Source organism: Homo sapiens, chromosome 2, assembly GCF_000001405.40.
Source record: "Homo sapiens chromosome 2, GRCh38.p14 Primary Assembly".
Classification (NCBI taxonomy): domain Eukaryota; kingdom Metazoa; phylum Chordata; class Mammalia; order Primates; family Hominidae; genus Homo; species Homo sapiens.
In genome coordinates, this window is record NC_000002.12 from 84,678,871 (window position 1) to 84,698,854 (window position 19,984).

At 38.3% G+C, this 19,984-nt stretch overlaps 1 protein-coding gene across 14 annotated transcripts in view; it reads left to right on the forward strand.

Annotated features, from left to right (window-relative positions):
* The window catches only part of DNAH6 (dynein axonemal heavy chain 6), a 360,018-nt gene that overhangs the window by 219,299 nt on the left and 120,735 nt on the right, over positions 1 to 19,984 (forward strand). For 10 of the 14 annotated variants that reach the window (XM_011532650.4, XM_011532649.3, XM_006711956.3 and 7 more), the window contains 6 exons: positions 2,487 to 2,658; positions 6,456 to 6,602; positions 7,614 to 7,687; positions 9,569 to 9,723; positions 15,379 to 15,610; positions 18,705 to 18,857. In XM_011532650.4, coding sequence (XP_011530952.1) covers positions 2,487 to 2,658; positions 6,456 to 6,602; positions 7,614 to 7,687; positions 9,569 to 9,723; positions 15,379 to 15,610; positions 18,705 to 18,857 — 933 coding nt within the window. Of the gene's footprint in view, positions 1 to 120; positions 225 to 2,486; positions 2,659 to 6,455; positions 6,603 to 7,613; positions 7,688 to 9,568; positions 9,724 to 15,378; positions 15,611 to 18,704; positions 18,858 to 19,984 lie in introns of those variants that run through there. The other 4 variants (XM_011532653.2, XM_017003521.2, XM_011532660.2 and 1 more) reach the window with 3 other exon arrangements.

Consider the following 19,984-nt stretch of genomic DNA (forward strand, 5'->3'; position numbering starts at 1 on the left):
TTCAGGTGGGAAAGAATATTGCTCTCATTACAACGGACAGGGTATTTTGCCTGTAGGAAAAAAGAACTTGCTCTAGGCCCATGGATCTCAAACTTCATTTTTCATCACATCCCACCTTAGCAGGACCCAAGAATTCATCACCCGTCTGTCCTGTCCTTCATTACTGTTTGGAGGAAAAAGAACTTGGATATAATCAAGAATTGAAGAAGAGCAAAATCAATAAAGTAAATTTATTTTTAGCAACATATATAAATAGATTTATTTCTACTGTATAAAAGAAGCCTATGAGTCTAAATAGTACATGTATATTATATATAATGTTTTCAATAACCTATTAGTGTTAACACGATTAGTCCTATCATTGTACTTTCTTTGATAGTCTGTTGCAAATTAGTTAAATAGTGCATATATGCAGGGAGCGCACCACTAATGCCCAGACACGATTTGCACCGTTGGAATATGTACATTATAAGTGACTCTTTCTCAGACCATAGTTCATACAAACCTGAATGTTTACTTACTGGAAATTTATGTGCCAAAATATGCATCACTATACATTCTAAGGGTAAACCGAACAGCACACAACCAGGTAAATTAAATTTAATGAAATTTCTAGTTAGAAAGCTATAACGCAGTAACTGAAAACCGTGATCAGCTCCATAAACTAGTGATAATGTGCTTATGCCAAAGAATCCTCCCAAAACTAAGAAACCTGGCTGCATCTTGCGTGCATGTTCTTAGTAAGAGTTTTGCAAAGTTGCCAAACAGATCATGTAAGCCAGATCCTTAAGTAGAATACTAGGCTGTGGTCCTCAGTAAATTCTATAATGATACGCTAATTTTAATGTATGGATACCAGTTTAGTAGCCTTTAATTCATTCATTAAACAAATATTTGTTGAGCACCTTCCATACGCCTGATATTGGTGTATCATCCCTGTCCTCATGGATCTTCTTCCATGGACACAGATAATGAAGAGATGAATGAGATATCTAGATATAGACACACAGTTACTCATGTATATGTTAGAAACTATTTGTATTTGTGTCATGGAGAACAGAAGGCTGGAGCTTTTTACATACATATAACATATATATAAATAAAATTATCAGCTTGTCTATTCTCCATCATACACATACAAATGGACAGATTTTCATCAAATTTAAAGATTGGGTTTGAGATGGTCCTACATAAAATACAGACCATGTGGAGTATGTTAAACTCATGTTGGGGTCCCAGGAGGGGATACCTAAAGAGGTCATCCTCACAAGTTAAAGCAAATGTTAAACAGGAGACCCACTGAAAACAAATACTCAGGTTTATTTCAAAAGATCTCATATATGACACCAAATCTGAAGTCACAACTTCAGATTAGACTAACTTGCAACCATTGATATGCATTCTCGTGGCTTCTCCCATTAGTTACTCCAGGGTTAATGGTAATAAGAATTTATCTATTTAAAAAACAATAATGATTTTTCCAAGCACTTGCGGGTCAAGGACTAGCTAATAAATACACATGTTCAAGTTGTGATGTTATGGATGAGAAGATCAAAGAGACTGATGGGAGGACTTGTTTTAGACTGAGTGGTCAGGAAAGGCCTCTCTGGAGAGACGGCATGTAACCTAAAACATGAAGGATGAAAGGGCACCTGCCAAGCAGAGAGGGCTGGGCACAGGAAGAGGGGAGCAGCAGTGCAGGGGCCTGAGGTGGGAAGGAGTGTGGGTGTTCAGACTAGTGTGGCGGGGACATGGGGAGCAATGGAAGGGAGGGGTGAAGTGAGGATGCTGGGGGAAGGGTGGACCAGCAGGGAGACCAGAATGGAAATGGAGAGGCCAGAGTGAAGGAGAGAGAGGAGAAGTCCAGATAAAAAAGAGTAGGGGCCAGGATGGGGTGATGTCCGGGGAAACAGAGGGAAGCAAACAGATCCAAGAAATGTGTTCAAGATTGATTTTGCAGGACAGAAAATGGGAGGTGTATAAAGAGACTTCCAAGCTCCTGATCTAAGCTTAGGAGGGAATGGCCAGCTACTGAGATGGGGAAGCTGAAGTGTGAGGGAGTTCACCATTGCAAGTAAGTCGCATTTAAAATATACATGAAGATGAAAGTCTATGAGAGTGGTGGTCATTCATCCATAAAAGTGAGAGAGAGGGTTTCTGTTCATTTCCAGGTGGGTTTGTGCCCTTCGTGATGACCCCTTGGACTCACCTCAAGCAGAGGTCTAAATTACTTGAGAGTGTGTTCATGTAAATTCACTAGTCAGATATGAATGCCACTCAGGCATCACAAAACAATCACAGAAGACAGGAGTGAGCGCATTCTCAAGAATGTTTTCTGAAATGAGCAGAAGAGCTTTGATACCAGAAGACTTTGTGTTGGAATTTGGCTTTCTATTATTAGAAAACGTTATCATCCGGAGTATTTAAAAGATAGATATTTGGTTTAAAATAAATCTAATCCTCTCATATTATGTTTCTGGTTCTAGGCCATCTTAAATGGTTTCCTGAGTGACTTTCCACCAGCTGTAAAGCAAACTGCATCAAGCATTGTAGAAGCCTCAGTTGAGATTTATAACAAAATGAGTGTTGACCTCCTGCCAACACCCGCCAAGTCCCATTATGTCTTTAACTTGAGGGACTTATCCAAATGTGTGCAAGGTAGTGTACTGAACCCTCGTTTTCTGATCTGCACCCTCCCTACTTTTCCATTGGCCCCCAAATATCTCAGTAACATTGTATGTATGCAGGTGTTGGTGACTCACCCAGAAATCCCATCACCTGTTCCTATTCAGGCTGAGTGCTTCACAACTATTTCACATGGCCAACACTGCCTCCCATTTCTCACTCCCAGCTGATTACTTGTCTTTCACTGAAAAAAAAAAAAAAATAGAAGCAGTTGGACCAGAGCTGCCTCATCTTCTAAATCTCCCAGACAACTTGCATCTTCCTTCCCTGGGCTGAGCTCCCCCTCCATCTGTCAGTGTCAATGCTCCTTCTAATACCGAACCCAGTCCCCTCCTGTCTACTCAAGGATTTTGCTATCATAATTCCCACTTCTCATCTTCAAAGTTTCTTTTTTTATTGGATCATGCCTAATGGCATAAAAAGCCACTATCATACCTCCCATCTTAAAAAAAAATAATTTTCTTTAAGACCCATATCCCCTGATGGTACCCCTCCCATTTCTCTGCTCTTTCTAGAAAGACCTCTTAAAGAATGGTCTCTCCTCCCTGTCTCACTTACTCCCTCAAGTTCTCCCTTTACTATACGTCAATCAAAGTTGTGATACCCAACACTGTGCTCAACTGCTCTACCTGAGTCCCATCTCCATCTGCTCAGATCCACTGGTCAGCTCTCAGCGGCACCTTAACTTACAGCAATGTCCACGCAACTTTCCCCTCCCCGCCTTCTCCAGTGGTCCAGGGCAGGCTCTCCTGGGGTCCCCCCTCACTGCCTGCTGTCACTCAGTCTGTTTTGATAGCTGCTCCTCTTCTTCCCTACCTCAAAATGTTGGGGCCGCAGGGCTCGGTCTTTAGATCTACGCACATATTCCCTCAGTAATTCTGGTCAATTCTACATCATCAAGTGCCATCTACTCAGAGATGGCACTGGAGTGCCTGCCTCTAGCTCCCACCCCTACTCTAAGAGTCTGACTTTCATATCCAGCTTCCTTCTCAGTGTGCACCCTCAGGCATCCAGCTGGCCTGCTAAACTTGGCATGTCTAAATGGAACTCTTGCTTTTCCCCTCCACCTTGGCCATGCATACCCCGGCCCCAGAGGAGACTACCATTAGTTGCTCTGGCTAGGAACCTTGAAAACCTCTATGCAATCCACAAATAGTCCTGACAGCTTTATTTTCAGAATATATCCCGAATCTAACCACTCCTCACCACTCCATCCACTACCCTTCTAACCTCCTCTCTAATCTCCTGCTTCTGATTATCCGTTTACCCTGTTCAAAGAGACCCAGCTCTGCCCTCTGCACAGCAGCCAAGCATGGGCCCTGTTGAGACCCTCCTGAGGCTGCTTCTAGCACCTGCCTGTGTTGAGTCTCTGTGTGATCTGGATCCGGGCTCCCTCTCCCTTTCATTGCCTACCACTTTCCTCCTTGCTACTGCCACCTCCTTGCCATTCCTGAAATCGGGCCTGCCCAGGGACCGCTGTACATTGCTTGCAATGCTCTGACACCAGATAGCCACATAAGCTCACTTTCCCTGCTCAAATGTCACCTTCTCAGCAAAACTTCCCATGTCCCTTCATAGCTCCTATTACCTGTAATCATATCGCACATATTTCTCTGCATATATGTGTGTTCATGTATCTGTCTCTCCCATTAGGACATCAGCTCCCCAAGGGCTGTATGCTTAGTTCACCACTGTATCCCAGTGCCTAATCGGGCCTGGCACTGAATGAATGAATGTCTAGATGAATAAACAAGTCTCCCCTGATTTTGTATACAAGGACACTAACTCTTAGTTGCTCCATAATCTGCTTCGTTCCCTGACTCCCCATCCAGTGCCCTTTGTTCTACACCACTCTTATTTTTTTTTTTTTTTTTTTTTTTTTTTGAGATAGAGTTTCACTCTTGTTGCCCAGGCTGGAGTGCAGTGGCGTGATCTCGGCTCACTGCAACCTCCGCCTCCTGGGTTCAAGCGATTCTGTAGCCTCAGCCTCCCAAAAAGCTTGGATTACAGGTGCACACCACCATGCCCAGCTAATTTTTGTATTTTTAGTAAAGACCGGGTTTCGCCATGTTGGTCAGGCTGGTTTTGAACTCCTGACCTCAGGTGATCCACCTGCCTCGGCCTCCCAAAGTGCTGGGATTACAGGTGTGAGCCACTGCGCCCGGCCAATATTTTTTTTTCTCTAAAAAGATTCTAACTAACATGTATAAGTTTGTTTTTAATATCTGCAAAGTAGCCAAAGTAGAAGCTGTGGAGTGCTTTCATGTGAAGCAATGACTGGCCTCTTTGAAAGCCAGCTCTCTTTCCTGTCTTCATCACAATCTAAGTCATTACCTGTTGTGCATTAACAAGTCTGGGAATGAACTGGGAGATGCTGGCCCATGGCAGGAGCTTAGGCATTAAGAACCCTGCAGACCCCTCCTGCTTCTTCCTAATGCACAGTTCTCACACAGGTTCCTGATCTTCCCAACTCCCGATCTGAAGGCTCTGTCATTCTTCTTTTTCTTCCTCCTTCCAGAGCCTGAAGGACTCTCAAAGCTGGCACACCATCCTTGCCACAGGATGACAAAATAATTTGTTTTCTCTTCCTCCACTGAAATCTTGCCCTCTTATACTAGCAGTTTAGTCCTGTGATTCATGAACTCAATTTTCCTAGAAAACATTAGAATATGACTTCGTTTCTTTCATGAACCGCTTCAGACTCACTGATCCTCAGACATTGTCTAATCTAGTCATTTATTTTTTATCCTTCCCCATTGCCTTTCTATTCCTATTTTTAAGATAATTTTTGAGCTTCAAAATTCAGGATCCACTTTATTTCTGAAATGACGCATCATAAAATACACAGGAAATTCCAATGTTGAATCTCTTTCTCCTTGTTTCTGCATTTCATCAAAAGTCCTAGAAATTTCCTTATTTCTACAAATATTAACTGAAAATAATTAAAACTTCAAGCATTTCAAGAAACATATATGTCAAACAACACACAAACACCAATGTGAGATGCAAAAAACAGGTAGCATCATTATCTATAGAAATACCCTAGTATTCCAAAGCAACATGAGCAGTACCTACCATGCTGTGTGGTACCCACTCTCTGCTGTGTGTGCCCACATGCACAGTAGACACTCTCCCTGCCCCTGTCTACAGTGTGAGGAGCCCCATATTGGTGGTCCCTGTGGAGAAGTACCATTTCCAGGAATTCCTGTACATTGTTGCTTTGATTGTAACTTGAAATCATTAGAACTGTGTTTGCAATAACAATTTACACTAATGAAATGAGTACTCAGAATAATCTTAGTAGAAGCCAGAAGGGCCAGGGGCATTTGGTGAGGACTGACATTGGGGAAGAAAGAGAGAAATGGGAGTTTCAAAAACAGTATATGCATTGAGAGGAGGAAAGTTGCAAGATAAGTAAATATATATACTTTAGTATATTTTAAAGTAATGTGAGGCCCTTCACTTAACATATTGCAATTCATGTAATAATGAGATAAACCTTGCTTATATTGTGAAGTCTGACCACTTCACATGCTCGGTTAAAGAAACATCACAAAACAGGGAAAAAATGTTTTTGTCAAATAATGTATCCCAGATTTGTTATCAAAAAATGAGGTCACTATTAGTATATGTGTATATCCACTGGGGAAGCAGTCATTTTTGGCAATATGAGGGTAAAGTTGTACTTAAGGGTTTCCTAATTAAACTATTACTGGAGATTCTACAAATGTAGAATTTTTCTTTTTTTTTTTCCTTTTCTTAAAAAACAGGTATCCTCCAATGTGATCCAGGAACAATAAGAGAAGAAATTCAGATATTTAGACTCTTTTGCCATGAGTGCCAAAGGGTCTTCCATGATCGCTTGATTAATAATGAAGATAAGCACTATTTCCATGTTATTCTGACAGAAATGGCCAGTAAATATGAATCTTTACCTATTCTTTTTTTTATTTGAGTAGAAAAGCAATTTGGTTTCTACAAAGAACAATTAACACAAAAAGAATTTTCATAATTTATGAGTAAAAGTTATTTTCTTTGATGGTTCAAATATATATTAAAATATATGAAATATGCAATATTATAAAATAATTTTATTAAAATTCAGGAAGGGTCAGTCGGGCATGGTGGCTCATGCCTGTAATCCCAGTACTTTCGGTGGCTGGGTACTTGGATCCCTTGGGCTCAGGAGTTCGAGACCAGCCTGGGCAACAAGGCAAGACCCCATCTCTACTAAAAATACCAAAATAAATAAGTAAATTCAGGAAGTGTTTGTATTTTAATTTATTATAAAGTTTTAAGTAGAGGAGAGAAAGTAGGAGAAAGAGCATTTTGTCTGATAAGAAGCCAGGATAGGCCAGGCGCAGTGGTCATGCCTGTAATCCCAGCACTTTGGGAGGCCAAGGCAAGCGGATCACAAAGTCAGGAGTTCAAGACCAGTCTGGCCAATGTAGTGAAACCCTGTCTCTACTAAAAATCCAAAAAAATAGCTGGGTGTGGTGGTGTGCACCTATAATCTCAGCTACTCAGGAGGCTGAGGCAAGAGAATCATGTGAACCCAGGAGGCGGAGGTTGCGGTGAGCCGAGATCGCATCATTGCACTCCAGCCCAGGTGACAGTGCAAGACTCCGTCTCAAAAAAAAAAAAAAGCCAGGATAATTTTAAAGTACTTCTTATTTCTTAAATAAGTATCCAATATTCATTATTTAACAAATGTTTTAAATTCTTTGTTAAGTATTCTTAATCTTAAACTTGGGAGATTATCAGCTAAACTAAAGCGGCATGGAGTTAACACAGTATTCTCTCAGTTTTTATGTATATTAATTAAGTCTTCTAAGTAAAATGCAGCTATTATTCTATATGTTTTATCACTAAAATATTCCATTCAAGATTATCATTATATTTAAAACTTGGTTTTGTTCTTTAAATAGACAAACATTTTGGAATTGCAATTGACCTGGAATATTTTTTGAATAAGCCCATCATATTTGGAGATTTCATTAAGGCAAGTATGTTAGATTGACTTGACCTCATTTGAAAATTGTAAAGCATTTATTATTTTCCAATTCAAATGAATATTCTATAAAAACTTTACATGTGTGAGGAGTTAAGATCTAGGCCAGATGTCAGCAAACTATGGCCCATGAGCCACATCTGCCTGCTGCCTATTTTTGTAAGCAAAATTCTATGGAACATAGCCACAGCCATTTATGTATATGATTTTTATATGGTTGCTTTTGCTCTACAACAGCAGAGTGCAGTAGTAGTGATAAAGACCATATGACCTGCAAAGCCTAAAATATTTACTATCAGACCCTTTACAGAAAAAGTTTGCTGACTCCTGATCTAATTACATTCATTTTGGTAACGGTTTGAATCAGAGAGGTATCAGGTATTCAGTTTGGAAGGAAGCGGAGAGGTCTAGTCTTTTAACTCAGGACTTCCCCTTTATTGTACTCTACATAGTGAAGCTACTTGGTTAAGAGAATTGTTCTCTTCATTTCAGAGTAACTCTAATTAGTAGCAAATTTTTTTATATATTTAACTTCCTTTTATTCCCTTATGAGTTCCTCAAGCCTGTCTCTGCAATACTCTCTGTCTAATTTTTACCCTCTGGACCTAATTTTACCCTCTGGTAAATTTTACCCTCTTGACCTGCCTGGAATAAATCTTCTATCTCACTGCCCTGCCTACATTGGCAGATAGCCATGTTGTTTTACTAAGGTGCCTCTTGTTCGAGTAAAACATTCCCAGTGTCTCCAAGAGGGCAGAGACCATGTCTGTTTTTTGTTCATCTTAAGTTCCCAGGTTCCTGCACAGAGGTACGTAGCAGGCTCTCAATCAATGCTGGTTCAACACATGAAGGAACTCGTCTTTATATTATATGTAGACAATACCTCACCACTCTGGTAACTCCACTCTAGATAAGTATTACCACCCGACAAATAAAAAAGATAAACTACGTATTTTTGTAAAGTATATATTTATATTTATTATTAAAAGTATGGTCCAAAGTTTGTTTTCAAAGATTATTTTCCTGTGTGTTTCTAGTTGATTGTATTATCACATGAGGGAATACACACAGAAAAAAAACAGCTAGACTCTTCTTGCATTGCCTCTGTGTGTTTTAGTAAAACATTCCAGGAGAAAGTGCCCCTGGGGCCGTTGCTACATACAATAGAGAAGGGATATCATCAATAGATTAAAACAAGGACTCGACTCCCTACACTTCACACCTGAATTTCATTCTCAACAATTTAGGTAACCCTAAATGACTGCTATTTAAAAACTACAAATAGTTCTGGCATGATTTTTTATAATAATAGCAGTCTGCCATGCATAGTTTTTAACCAGTTAGCTTTTCCAATGTCAATAACCTAACAGCAAAAAAATGAAACCAGGTCGGGCGCAGTGTCTCACACCTGTAATCCCAGCACTTTAGGAGGCAGAAGCGGGCAGATTATTTGAGGTCAGGAGCTCGAGATCAGCCTGGCCAACATAGTGAAACCCCGTCTGTACTAAAAATACAAAAATAAGCTGGGCGTGGTGGTGGGCGCCTGTAATCCCAGCTACTCAGGAGGCTGAGGCAGGAAAATCACTTGAACCAAGGAGGCGAAGGTTGTGGTGAGCTGAGATCGCACCACTGCACCCCACCCAGCCTGGGCAACAGAGAGAGACTCCATCTCAAAAAAAAAAAAAAAAAGTGAAATCAGAATATAGCATTGTGAGAAAAATCAAAACCCTATTTCTGAGCTCCTATGTAAATTTTATTGCAAAGACCTTCAAAATTCCAGTGTAGCTCTTGAAGAAGTTAAATGAAATGGATTTTCCAGGTTATGTGTCTATCAGAATTGATCCAACTTGGTTCTTCTCCCATAAATTATAGTTTGGAGCAGATAAAGCTGATCGGATTTATGATGACATGCCTGATATAGAGAAAACTGCAAATGTTCTACAGGACTATCTTGATGATTATAATCTCACAAATCCCAAAGAAGTAAAGTTGGTGTTCTTCCAGGATGCTATAGAACATGTTTCAAGGTATAGTGCTATAAGGCGCCCAATAATGCATTGATTTAATATTTTTTGTATTAAAGGGTAAAAAAATAAGTTGTATAAACTCTTCAAACAGATTGCTAGATGGTCAGAGGTCTTTTATTAACTCTCACCATAACTTAAGAGTTATTGTTTAACATATTTTAAATATTTGTGGAATGAGCTTTCTATGGAATCCCCAGAGTCATTTTTTTGCTAAATATTAGTAGATGGTTTCTGTTTGTTTTTATCTGTTCTGTCTTGTTACAAAAAGGATATGAGGTTGTTTACAGAGATACATGTACGGTATAACAATGCTAGTTCCATGCATGCCTAAAGAAAGAGGAGCTTCAAAATTATAGCAAAACAAGTTCAATCCAGGATCAAAGGTTTCACCTGCTTGCATGTCTGACTCTTACCCACTACAAGTGTCCTATGAGGGACAACCTTGACACATTCATGAGCATCCAGCCTAAATATCTGCAGTCCTTGGGGCACACTTCCTGAAGTGGCTCCTGTCCTGTTTGACAGTTCTAATGCTAAAATGATCCTTCCAGGATAAGCCAACATCTGCCTCCTGTGCTTCTGGTATCCATCCCATCCTGTGAAGCAGTCATGATTAAGGTACTCAGTGTGGGTATGAAACCATGATATGGAGCATCTCATTTACCTGGTACAACAATCTCTCTATAGCTCAGGATCATAATCTCTTTACAAGTAAGGCTCAGAGAATGTCCCAGTGGTCTATTGCTATGTAATAAGCCACTCCTACCCTTAGCAGATTCATTTTATCATCTCTCAATTTTTGCGACTGTTCTCTGAGCATCTCTCTTACAGTTGTAATCAGACCGCCGCTGGAGTGCCTGGAGCATCTCCGCCTCCATATAGTCTCTCCACTTGTCTCTCGGCATGGCAGCATCAGGGTATCTGGGTTTCTCAACATGGTGGCTCAGGGCTCCAAAAGCAAGTGCTGCAAGACAGAGCCAGGCAGAAGCCAAATGGCTTTTTTGACATAGTCTTGGAAGTCACATAGCATCATTTCTACTGTGCTCTTCTAGTCAGTGCAGTCATACAGGCCCACTCAAGGTCAAAAGAAGAGGACGGAGACCCTATCTCTTGATGGAATCAAAGAGCAAGTAGGACCAGAGGCATTATTGCAGCCACTTTTTGGACAACGCTGTGTGCCACAGAGAGATTAGGTAAATGGTCCAAAGTCTTCTAGTCAGTGAGTGGCAGGTGGGGATCACAGCCAGTGCTTCAGCTCTAACTCCACTGTGGGTGCCCCTACCCAAAATGGGCTCACTTTTTTCATAACAGCTCTCCAGATATTTGAAGATCATTCCCATATTCTTCTTAGCTTTATCTTCTCCAGGCAAAATTATCCCACATCTTTCTTATTGCGTGTTGGAGATTATTTCCAGTCTTCACATACTGAGCACTTTATAATTTTTCAATGTTCTACTTAAAATGCAGCATCCAGATTTGATATCATATTCTGTGGAATAAATACAGTAAAATACAGTGAGAGTAGGATTTCCCATGGTCTACTGCTGCAGCAAGATTTTCATGGCTTTGGTTTTTTTCCTGTGTCAACTACATTTTAGCGTTGGTCCTTGTTAATACTGACAGTTAAATCCCTAGAATTTTTTTTCACATAAACCATAAGCAAATAAAGTCTTCACCTGTTCCATATTTCAGCTCTTTAATTAGCCCTAATTCAAGATTTATGTTTGTCACAGCTTAAGTGTTATAACATAGGTTGTTTGTCATTGGCTTGTCCAGATGCCACTTGCTTCCCCTCTGTCCCCCTGGCAGCATACCCACATGCTATCCCCTAACAACTTTTATTCCCATCGCTCAGGCAGGCCCTAAGCCTACAAGGAAAAAAATAATGGCAGCATTTTGGTCTGAGAAACTTCCTGGAGAATAGACCAGACCGTAAGCAAAGTTGGCTTAATTCTATTTATAATCTTTCTTACTTTTGTGAAAGAGAATTACCAGGCCCCTCAAGGTTTGCTTAAAATATTATGGACGGAAATTAAAAACCATTTGTAGCATGGTGAAGATTTGGTTTTCAGATGCACAAAGGACTGCCATGTAAATAATGATGTAGACTGTTCTCTTTTATTCAAGAGAGGATCAGTAGTTAGGAATCAGAGAAAACATATTTCTGCTTTTAAGAGCGTTCAAACACCTAATGCTGATTAGCAATGGAAAGGTCTTTGTTATGAAAGTGAGTTATGGATTAATTACTAAATACTCAGTAATTTAGCACACACTACATTTCCATTTGCTGGTGACATTTTAGTTTTTGGCTTTTTAATGTAGGGTAAGTAAAAGTCTTTTAACTCGGGGGGAAAAATTTGCTTCAGAGCCTGTGCTTTCAAAGAGCAAATGCACCAGGCAGTTTCTGCCCATTGTATGCCCCTAACGTTGTCACCACACTCCAAAGATAGTAGAACAAATCTATTAGTCTTTAAGCCACTAATTAGGAGAACTATCTCTTGCCTACCACGTGAGAGAAAATATAACTTAGCTACTACATTAGAGGATTCTTACTAGGGGAAGTTTTCAATCCATTTATAAGTAAATTGCCAGAAAAAAATAATACTACAAAGCAGAATGGACAAGTAATTTGTTTCCAGTAGTTTCAGATAGAAATAATCAAACTGCTATAAATAATAATGTACATGAAATAAGGAAAGAGTGACATATAAAGTGCAAGATTTTTATCATATTCAATATTTCATCAACTGTAGGACACTTGTACATTATGGGAAAAATAAGAAAGCATTATTATCTATTCACTCTGCCCTCAATTTTATGCTCGCCTGGGCAGCTGAAGAGAAAAAAGCAAATAGACATCTGATGTGTCTTTGAGTAGATGTGTACTGTGGCAGACACATAGCAATGACAATGGTGCCTATGGGTCTTCGTTGTTCTAGTAGAGGAGTTGGCCAAAAGTTCTGGGGAAGAGGTTGACAAACTACTTTGGTAAAGAGCCAGATAGAAAAACTATTTCAGTATCTGCAGATCATACTGTAACTACCCAACCCTGCTGTCATAATGCATAAGCAGCCACAGACAGTAAGTGAATGAATGAGCTTGGGTATGTTTCAACAAACTTTATTTATAGACATTAATATTTGAATTTCAAAGGATTTTCACATATCATGAAATATTACTCTTTAAAAATTTTTTTCAACCATTAAAAAAAATCTAAAAACCGTTCTTATCTCATGGGTCATTAAAAAACCACATTGTTAAGGGGCAGGATTTGGCCCACAGGCCATAGTTTGCTGACCCCGGTTTTAGACAAAGCCATCTTACCAAGGCACTCAAGATGTGGAAAAAGTGGACCTGTCTGAGGAGCAGGAGAGGGTGTAAAGGTGGAGGAAACAAATTTCAAAGTTTGATTCTTATTTCAGAAGATCCTAAATAATGACTGGGAGTCTGTGCCTTGTCCTGGAGGAAGACTTTTTAAATAAGTCCTCGTAGACTCCCTGTTGTATTCTTACACTACATAGCTCCTATCTCCTGCCACCAAAGATGATGTATATAGTAACTAACTGTTACAGTCTCTAGAAGTTGGTTACTTGAATGTGGAATTGATGGAGCACCCGCCAAATGCTATGCACTGTTCTCATAGAGAAATGGACAGCATCCAGGCCCCCATGATGAAGCTTACATGTGGGAAATAGTTAGCAATGGTTTTCTCTCATGAGTTACAGTGACCATGTGATGTTTTCATAATCAAAAAATAATAAAGCCACTATAATTTTAAAATATTTGAACATTGTTTTCTTCAATTATCAACAATATAAATAAGGTAGATAGATAGATAGATAGATAGATAGATAGATAGATAGATAGATAGATAGATAGATAGATAGATAAATTTCCCAGAGAAGGAAGGGGAGGAAGAGGAAAAATAATTAAACCTGCTTTTATATTTATCCCATGATTTCTAGATTTTAGACAATGGTAATGATAAGTTTTAAATTATGTTTATATTTTATGTCTTCTTAAGAAGAATTTATTGATGTTATCACCCCCTTTTCTATCATCTTAACAACAATGTATAGAGTTGATTCTCATACATACTGGTCACCTTTATACTAATATCCCTTCCCCCTTCCCAGGTTTTTAAATTTCATTCATACTTGTGTATATCTTCAAGGAATCTTTTAGGGAGGCTTTGCAGATTATTTACTCTCTGAGCCATAACATGGTATTTTTCTCCAACCATTGTCTTGTAAAATGTCATCTTGTCGAGTAGATGCCTGAAGCCAGCCTAAAATTATTTTTTCCTTTGGGGATAATCTATTACTTCTGCATTAGATAATCATAAACTTTTCAATTGTGTTTAAAACATAGATTTCTACTATAAAACTTCTGCATGTAAATTACTTATAGATCTCCTAGGAAACATTTAGTGTTTTGTCTCTCCTCTAGTTTTCTTTCTTGATCTTTGGGTCCGTGGGTTCAGTCCCAGTGGTTTCTTCTATTATGTCAGTCACCATTGCCTCAGTTCTATTCCTTCTTCTCATTCCTGTAATTTCTATGATGTGGCCTCTGGGATGCCATTTGTTTCTCCGAGATTTGCCCTCCTTATCTTCCATTTTCTCTCCCATTATTTTAAGATTGCTATCTTTTTTCTGAGTTCTGGGTATATTCCTGGAGTTTGGCCTCTACTTTTCCTGTTCAACTCTCCACGGTACTCTATTTGTGAGACTTATCACCTTCCACTCAGGTTTTCAGTTTAGTGGATTTTCCATCTCTACCCAACTTTTCCTAAATTTGGGGGGGTTTCCCTCCTTTTTGAGTGCTCTCTCTCTAGTATCATCATTGTAGGGCTTTTCAAAATTCCTGTTGGCCGGGCGTGGTGGCTCATGCCTGTAATCCCAGTACTTTGGGAGGCCAAGGCAGGCGAATCATGAGATCAGGAGATCGAGACCATCCTGGCTAAGACGGTGAAACCCCGTCTCTACTAAAAATACAAAAAATTAGCCGGGCATGGTGGCAGCCACCTGTAGTCCCAGCTACTCTGGAGGCTGAGGCAGGCGTGAACCCAGGAGGCGGAGGTTGCAGCGAGCCGAGATCACACCACTGCATTCCAGCCTGGGCAACAGAGCAAGACTCTATCTCAAAAAAAAAAAAAAAATTCCTGTTAACATGAATCAGAAACTTTCTAAAATTTTGTTGGTATCCTGCAGTAAATCCATTTCAAAGTGTTCTGTTGGTCTCTCCTTCTGCACTGTGGTGTCTTTTTCTAGGTTCAGTGATTTTTCTGCTTGCTCATTCTTATAAATGGAAACCTGGGCTTAGCAATTGACAATATAAGTTGTGGCCTAGATCGGCTAGGGTCTCCAACAAAGTCCTTCAGACTTCAGGAAAAAGAGATTTTACTTTATTCTAAATTTGTACGACTAGGGCCGAGACCCAACAGCCTGTTAGGAATGGGGGAAAGAATGAAAAAGAGAAAAGCCCAGCAGTGCTGTTCACCAAACCCTGGCCTCAGATGCAGCCTGCTCTTCCCTTGCAGCATCCTGCCCAGGGAGGAGGCTCCACTGGCCACCAGCCTTTGGCTCTGGGGCAGGCTCTCTGAGCAGGAGCCATGTCTGTGAACTTGAAATAAACCCTCTGCTCTGATGTTTGCAGGATTGCTCGGATGATACGTCAAGAAAGAGGCAATGCCCTGCTTGTTGGAGTAGGAGGCACAGGAAAGCAGTCACTCACGAGACTTGCAGCTCATATATGCGGTTACAAATGTTTGCAGATTGAACTCAGCCGGGGATATAATTATGATAGTTTTCATGAAGACCTGAGGAAGTTGTACAAAATGGCTGGTGTAGAAGACAAGAATATGGTTTTCCTTTTCACTGACACCCAGGTGTGTGTTTAAATAGCCCATGGGTGAGAACAGGAAATGTATGGGTGTTACAATCGGGTGTGTGCTTTGAACAGTTTGTAGGATGAAGTTCAAGGGGATTGTTCCCTTTGATAACAGATTTCCTGCAGCTTGTAAAAGACTTTTATAATACATTTTTATTTATTTTACCAAGTATTGTTTCCCTCTTTAAATTCTTAGTAATTAAATTTGATCAAAGGTCGAGGAGGTAAGTTTTTAACTTTTCTTTGAGGGAAAAGGCAAAGATAACAGAAGGTAATAAACTATAAAAGTGCATATAAGAAAATAATTTACCAAAAATTCAATTAGGGAAACATGACTTTACCTACAGAAAGGAAAAAGTAAGGGCTATCTTTTGGGTTAAATTACCTTTAAAATTGAAGTAGGATTACATCTATATCTACAACAGCTAAATTAACTGATCTTGAATTAATTCTATAGCAGAGGACTTTCTACATTGATTATTCTTGGGTATTTTTTCTTTAGAGAAAATAAACCCATCTAGAAATTAGCCAACGAATAAAAAAGTGATAGATTTGATGCATAAATGTTTTAAATATTGTAAGCAGAATTAAATACAAAGAAAAAATTGGAAAAATATTTTTAGTATCTATGACATGCAATGAGTTTATATCTTATTATAAAAATACTTATCACAAATGAAAAAGGAAAAGTCAAGCACATCTATAGAAGAAATAGAAAAAATGTGATAGAATGTGAATACACAGTTCCAGAAAACAAAGGGCTTTAAACACCTGAAGAAATTTTCAACCTCACCATTAATGAAGGAAATTGTAATAAATAAAAATGCGAGTGACTTGGCCTTGCAAGTTGATAATGGTAAAAAATCATAATATACAGAGTTGGCAGAGGTGTGGGAATAATAGGCCTGTTTATTCTTCACTGGGAGATTATAAATTAGCAAAATCTTTCTGGAAGGTAGTTGGCAATATGTAGGTAAAGCCTTTACATTTCTTTTACGTTATACTCAAAGCTATGTACAAAGTTGCATGTATAAGAATATCTATTGTAATGTTTTTAAATAATAATCTGAGAGAGTATTAATGTCCAGTGAGAGAAAGTCATATACATAATATCTGATATAACCATATACTAGAGCACTGTGTAAAAACTGTAAAATTATATTTTAGAAGCATCCACATTTTAATGTATATCTAGACATGTATGCCCTGTGTACAAAGAGAAAACATTTGAATCTTGGGATTGTGAGTGATTTTTATTGTCTAGTTGCTTATCTGTAGTTTCTGATTATCCTAAAATTAAGATATTTCTGATAGTGCTTTTAACATTGCTTTTAAAAATCAAACAAGTTATGTAAAAAGTCTCCAAGTATTAAAGCTCCAAAGATCAAGTCATATTGTGTTGCTTCTCTTTAGACAAAAAGTTACTACATTCTGTTGGAAGCCCCAATCAATCTCAAATGTTCTACAATAATGAAGAGTAAACGTAACCATAAAAATAAAAATGCATGTGTCTATACATGAACTTATATATACACAAAACATTATAAATGTGAGAAGAAATTGAGAGAAACAAGATGTTAAAAATAGAGTTTAATTGGCTGTAACTTAACAAATACAAAGTAGAAATAACTATGATTAGATATTTTACATAATATAATTTCTAAGCTACAATTAATAGCTATATACTATATTTCATATTTTACAGAGAAAGCAAATATTTTCTAATACTACTGAATGTTTACAAAAATTAATCATATACTAGATTTAAAGAAATTTTTATTAAATTGTTAAAAGCATAAGCTGTACTCGTAACATTCTTTGCCCATGCTTTAATTAAGGGAGAAATTAATGATGTGTCTTAGGACTTTAAAACATTCATATAAAGATCAAGAAAGTCAAAATCTCTTAGAGACTAAGAAAAATGAACTTAATATAAATAAAAATCTATGGAATGCAACCCAGCAGTTCTCAAATTTACATTTGTAGATTTGAATCAAAAATTAGAAACTACACAAATTAGTTTACTTAAAACTTTAGGAGGGAACAAATGTCACAAGACACATAAGAAAATGGAACAAGATAAAGCAAAAATAAATTAGAACACAGAAAACTAGTGTTTGCTCTTGGGGAAAATTGACAGACACAATTATACCAAGTTCATTAAGAAAAACAAAAAGTTTCAAATGAAGAAAACAAAATAACAGATATCTTGTCATAGTTAAATATATAGTACTCAAACTTTTATATAACTAAAAAGTTAACTGAAATAAAGGGTAAACGAGAGATTGCTTTTAAATATTTGCATCAATGTTGAAAGACAAAAAGTCTATTTCAAAATATGTAAATTACTCATGCAAATTTGAAAGAAAACTCCAAGATGCAGGTGGTTGCAAAGTTTAGACTGACTTTTTAATGGACAATAATAAATGTGGGATAATATTTTCCCTTGCTAATAATCAAAAACATCCAAAATAAATTCTCCAAAAGAAAGCATTTATTATATCTCCCAAATTAACAAAAATAAATGTTAAAAATTGATGAAGTCACACTTGAATTGAATGAGAAATAGTAAAATCTTCAAAATCCAGAAAATATTTGTGCATTTAATTGGTAATCTCACTCCTGGGAATTTGTTTCAAGAAAATAATCCAACTAAGGGGAAAAGATATATGCCTAAAATTGTTCTTATAATGTAAACAAGACTGTAAACTATCTCTGTCCGTGCAAATGTATGGTGCATCAGCTCAATGGTGCATTCTGCTTCTATATTTTTGATAAATATGATGAGTACATTACAGAACTATGGGTTAGTATTAATGATAAAATGGTAACTGAAAGGGGCAGAATATAAAATACTTGCACATATGACTTGACCAAGGTAAAATGGGAATGCCTGCTAAGAAACAAAACACAAAGGAAAAATGAAAAATCAGTGTACTTGCTATGTTAGAACTTCAGGGTTCCATGAAATTTTTAAGATTATCTTCTCTTAAAGATGAAATTGATTCATGTGAATTTTAGAATAAATATTTGCTTTATAATAAATGGAAAATGATTGAGCAAGTTGTAATGATCACTGCTTTCTTCTACAGATTGTAGTGGAGGAGTTCCTAGAAGATATAAATAACATCCTGAACTCAGGTGAAGTGCCTAATTTATTTGAAAAGGATGAACTGGAGCAGGTTTTAGCGGCCACCAGACCAAGAGCAAAAGAAGTAGGAATTTCTGAGGGGAACAGAGACGAGGTAGGATGTGCCAGAGTAGTTATGTGGCTTTATCACAAAAACGTTTCTTCACCTTTTATTTAACCATTCATTGATTGCCTGAAGGGGTCCATGAATAAAATTTTTTTCAATATAATTGGTTTCCTTTGTATTCGATGTATTTTATTTTCGGTGTTTAAAGCATTGGGTCACCAGACTTCCAGAAAGTTCTGTGGGAAGCAGAAAACAGAAATCCCATTGCCCCACAGAGGTCATAGTCTTGTCCAAACTGGCCAGCCTCTCTTATTCCTCTTTAAGCACCAGTTTATTTCACACACTGCAGCACCCTACCTGTGGCGGGCTGAAGGCATAGGTCCAGCATTGTTGATGCCCTTGCCTAGCAGCAATGTTATGACACAACAAAGCAGGAATGTGTTTTCTCTCACTCTCTCGGGAACAGTGTGGCTGCTGTACACTTCCATTCTCCAGCACCATGCTAGATCCCATACACCACTACTTGTTCACCCCAGCTTTTTTCCTTGTTTTTGCACCTTCTTTAAGTTTCTGGCTGTTCTTTCTTATATCTTTACTGTTTCCCTTTGTGAGAATTGTCTCTCCTGCTAGGTCGGAGATTATAGGTACAGATGCAAGTCTACTTCTGCTAATGTAAGCAGGAAGGGATTTATTAAAGGGACACAGAATCATTGGAAGGGCCAAAGAAAGAAATTCCAGACTGAACTGATTGGAATGAATATAAAATGTACACTGTAGAAGTCAATGGTCAAGGAGGTAGCTGCCTCTGCCACAACCATTCCTGCTGAAGCAGGGAGCCACTAAACCAGTCAGTGTGCCTCTGCATCAGCCGCCAGCTCCAGAGCCATGTGTCCTCCATCACATCAGGAAGCAGCTGAAATCAGGAGCCACTTCCAGAAATAATAGCTCCAGGATAGTTTATCAAAGAACTTTGAACTACCATTTGATCCAGCAATCCCATTACTGGTATATACCCAAAGGAAAATAAATCATTCTACCAAAAAGAGATATGCACCTGTATGTTTCATTGCAGCACTATTCACAATAGCAAAGACACGGAACCAACTCAGGTGCCCATCAGTGGTGGATTAGATATAGAAAAAGTGGTATGTGCACACCATGGAATACTACACAGC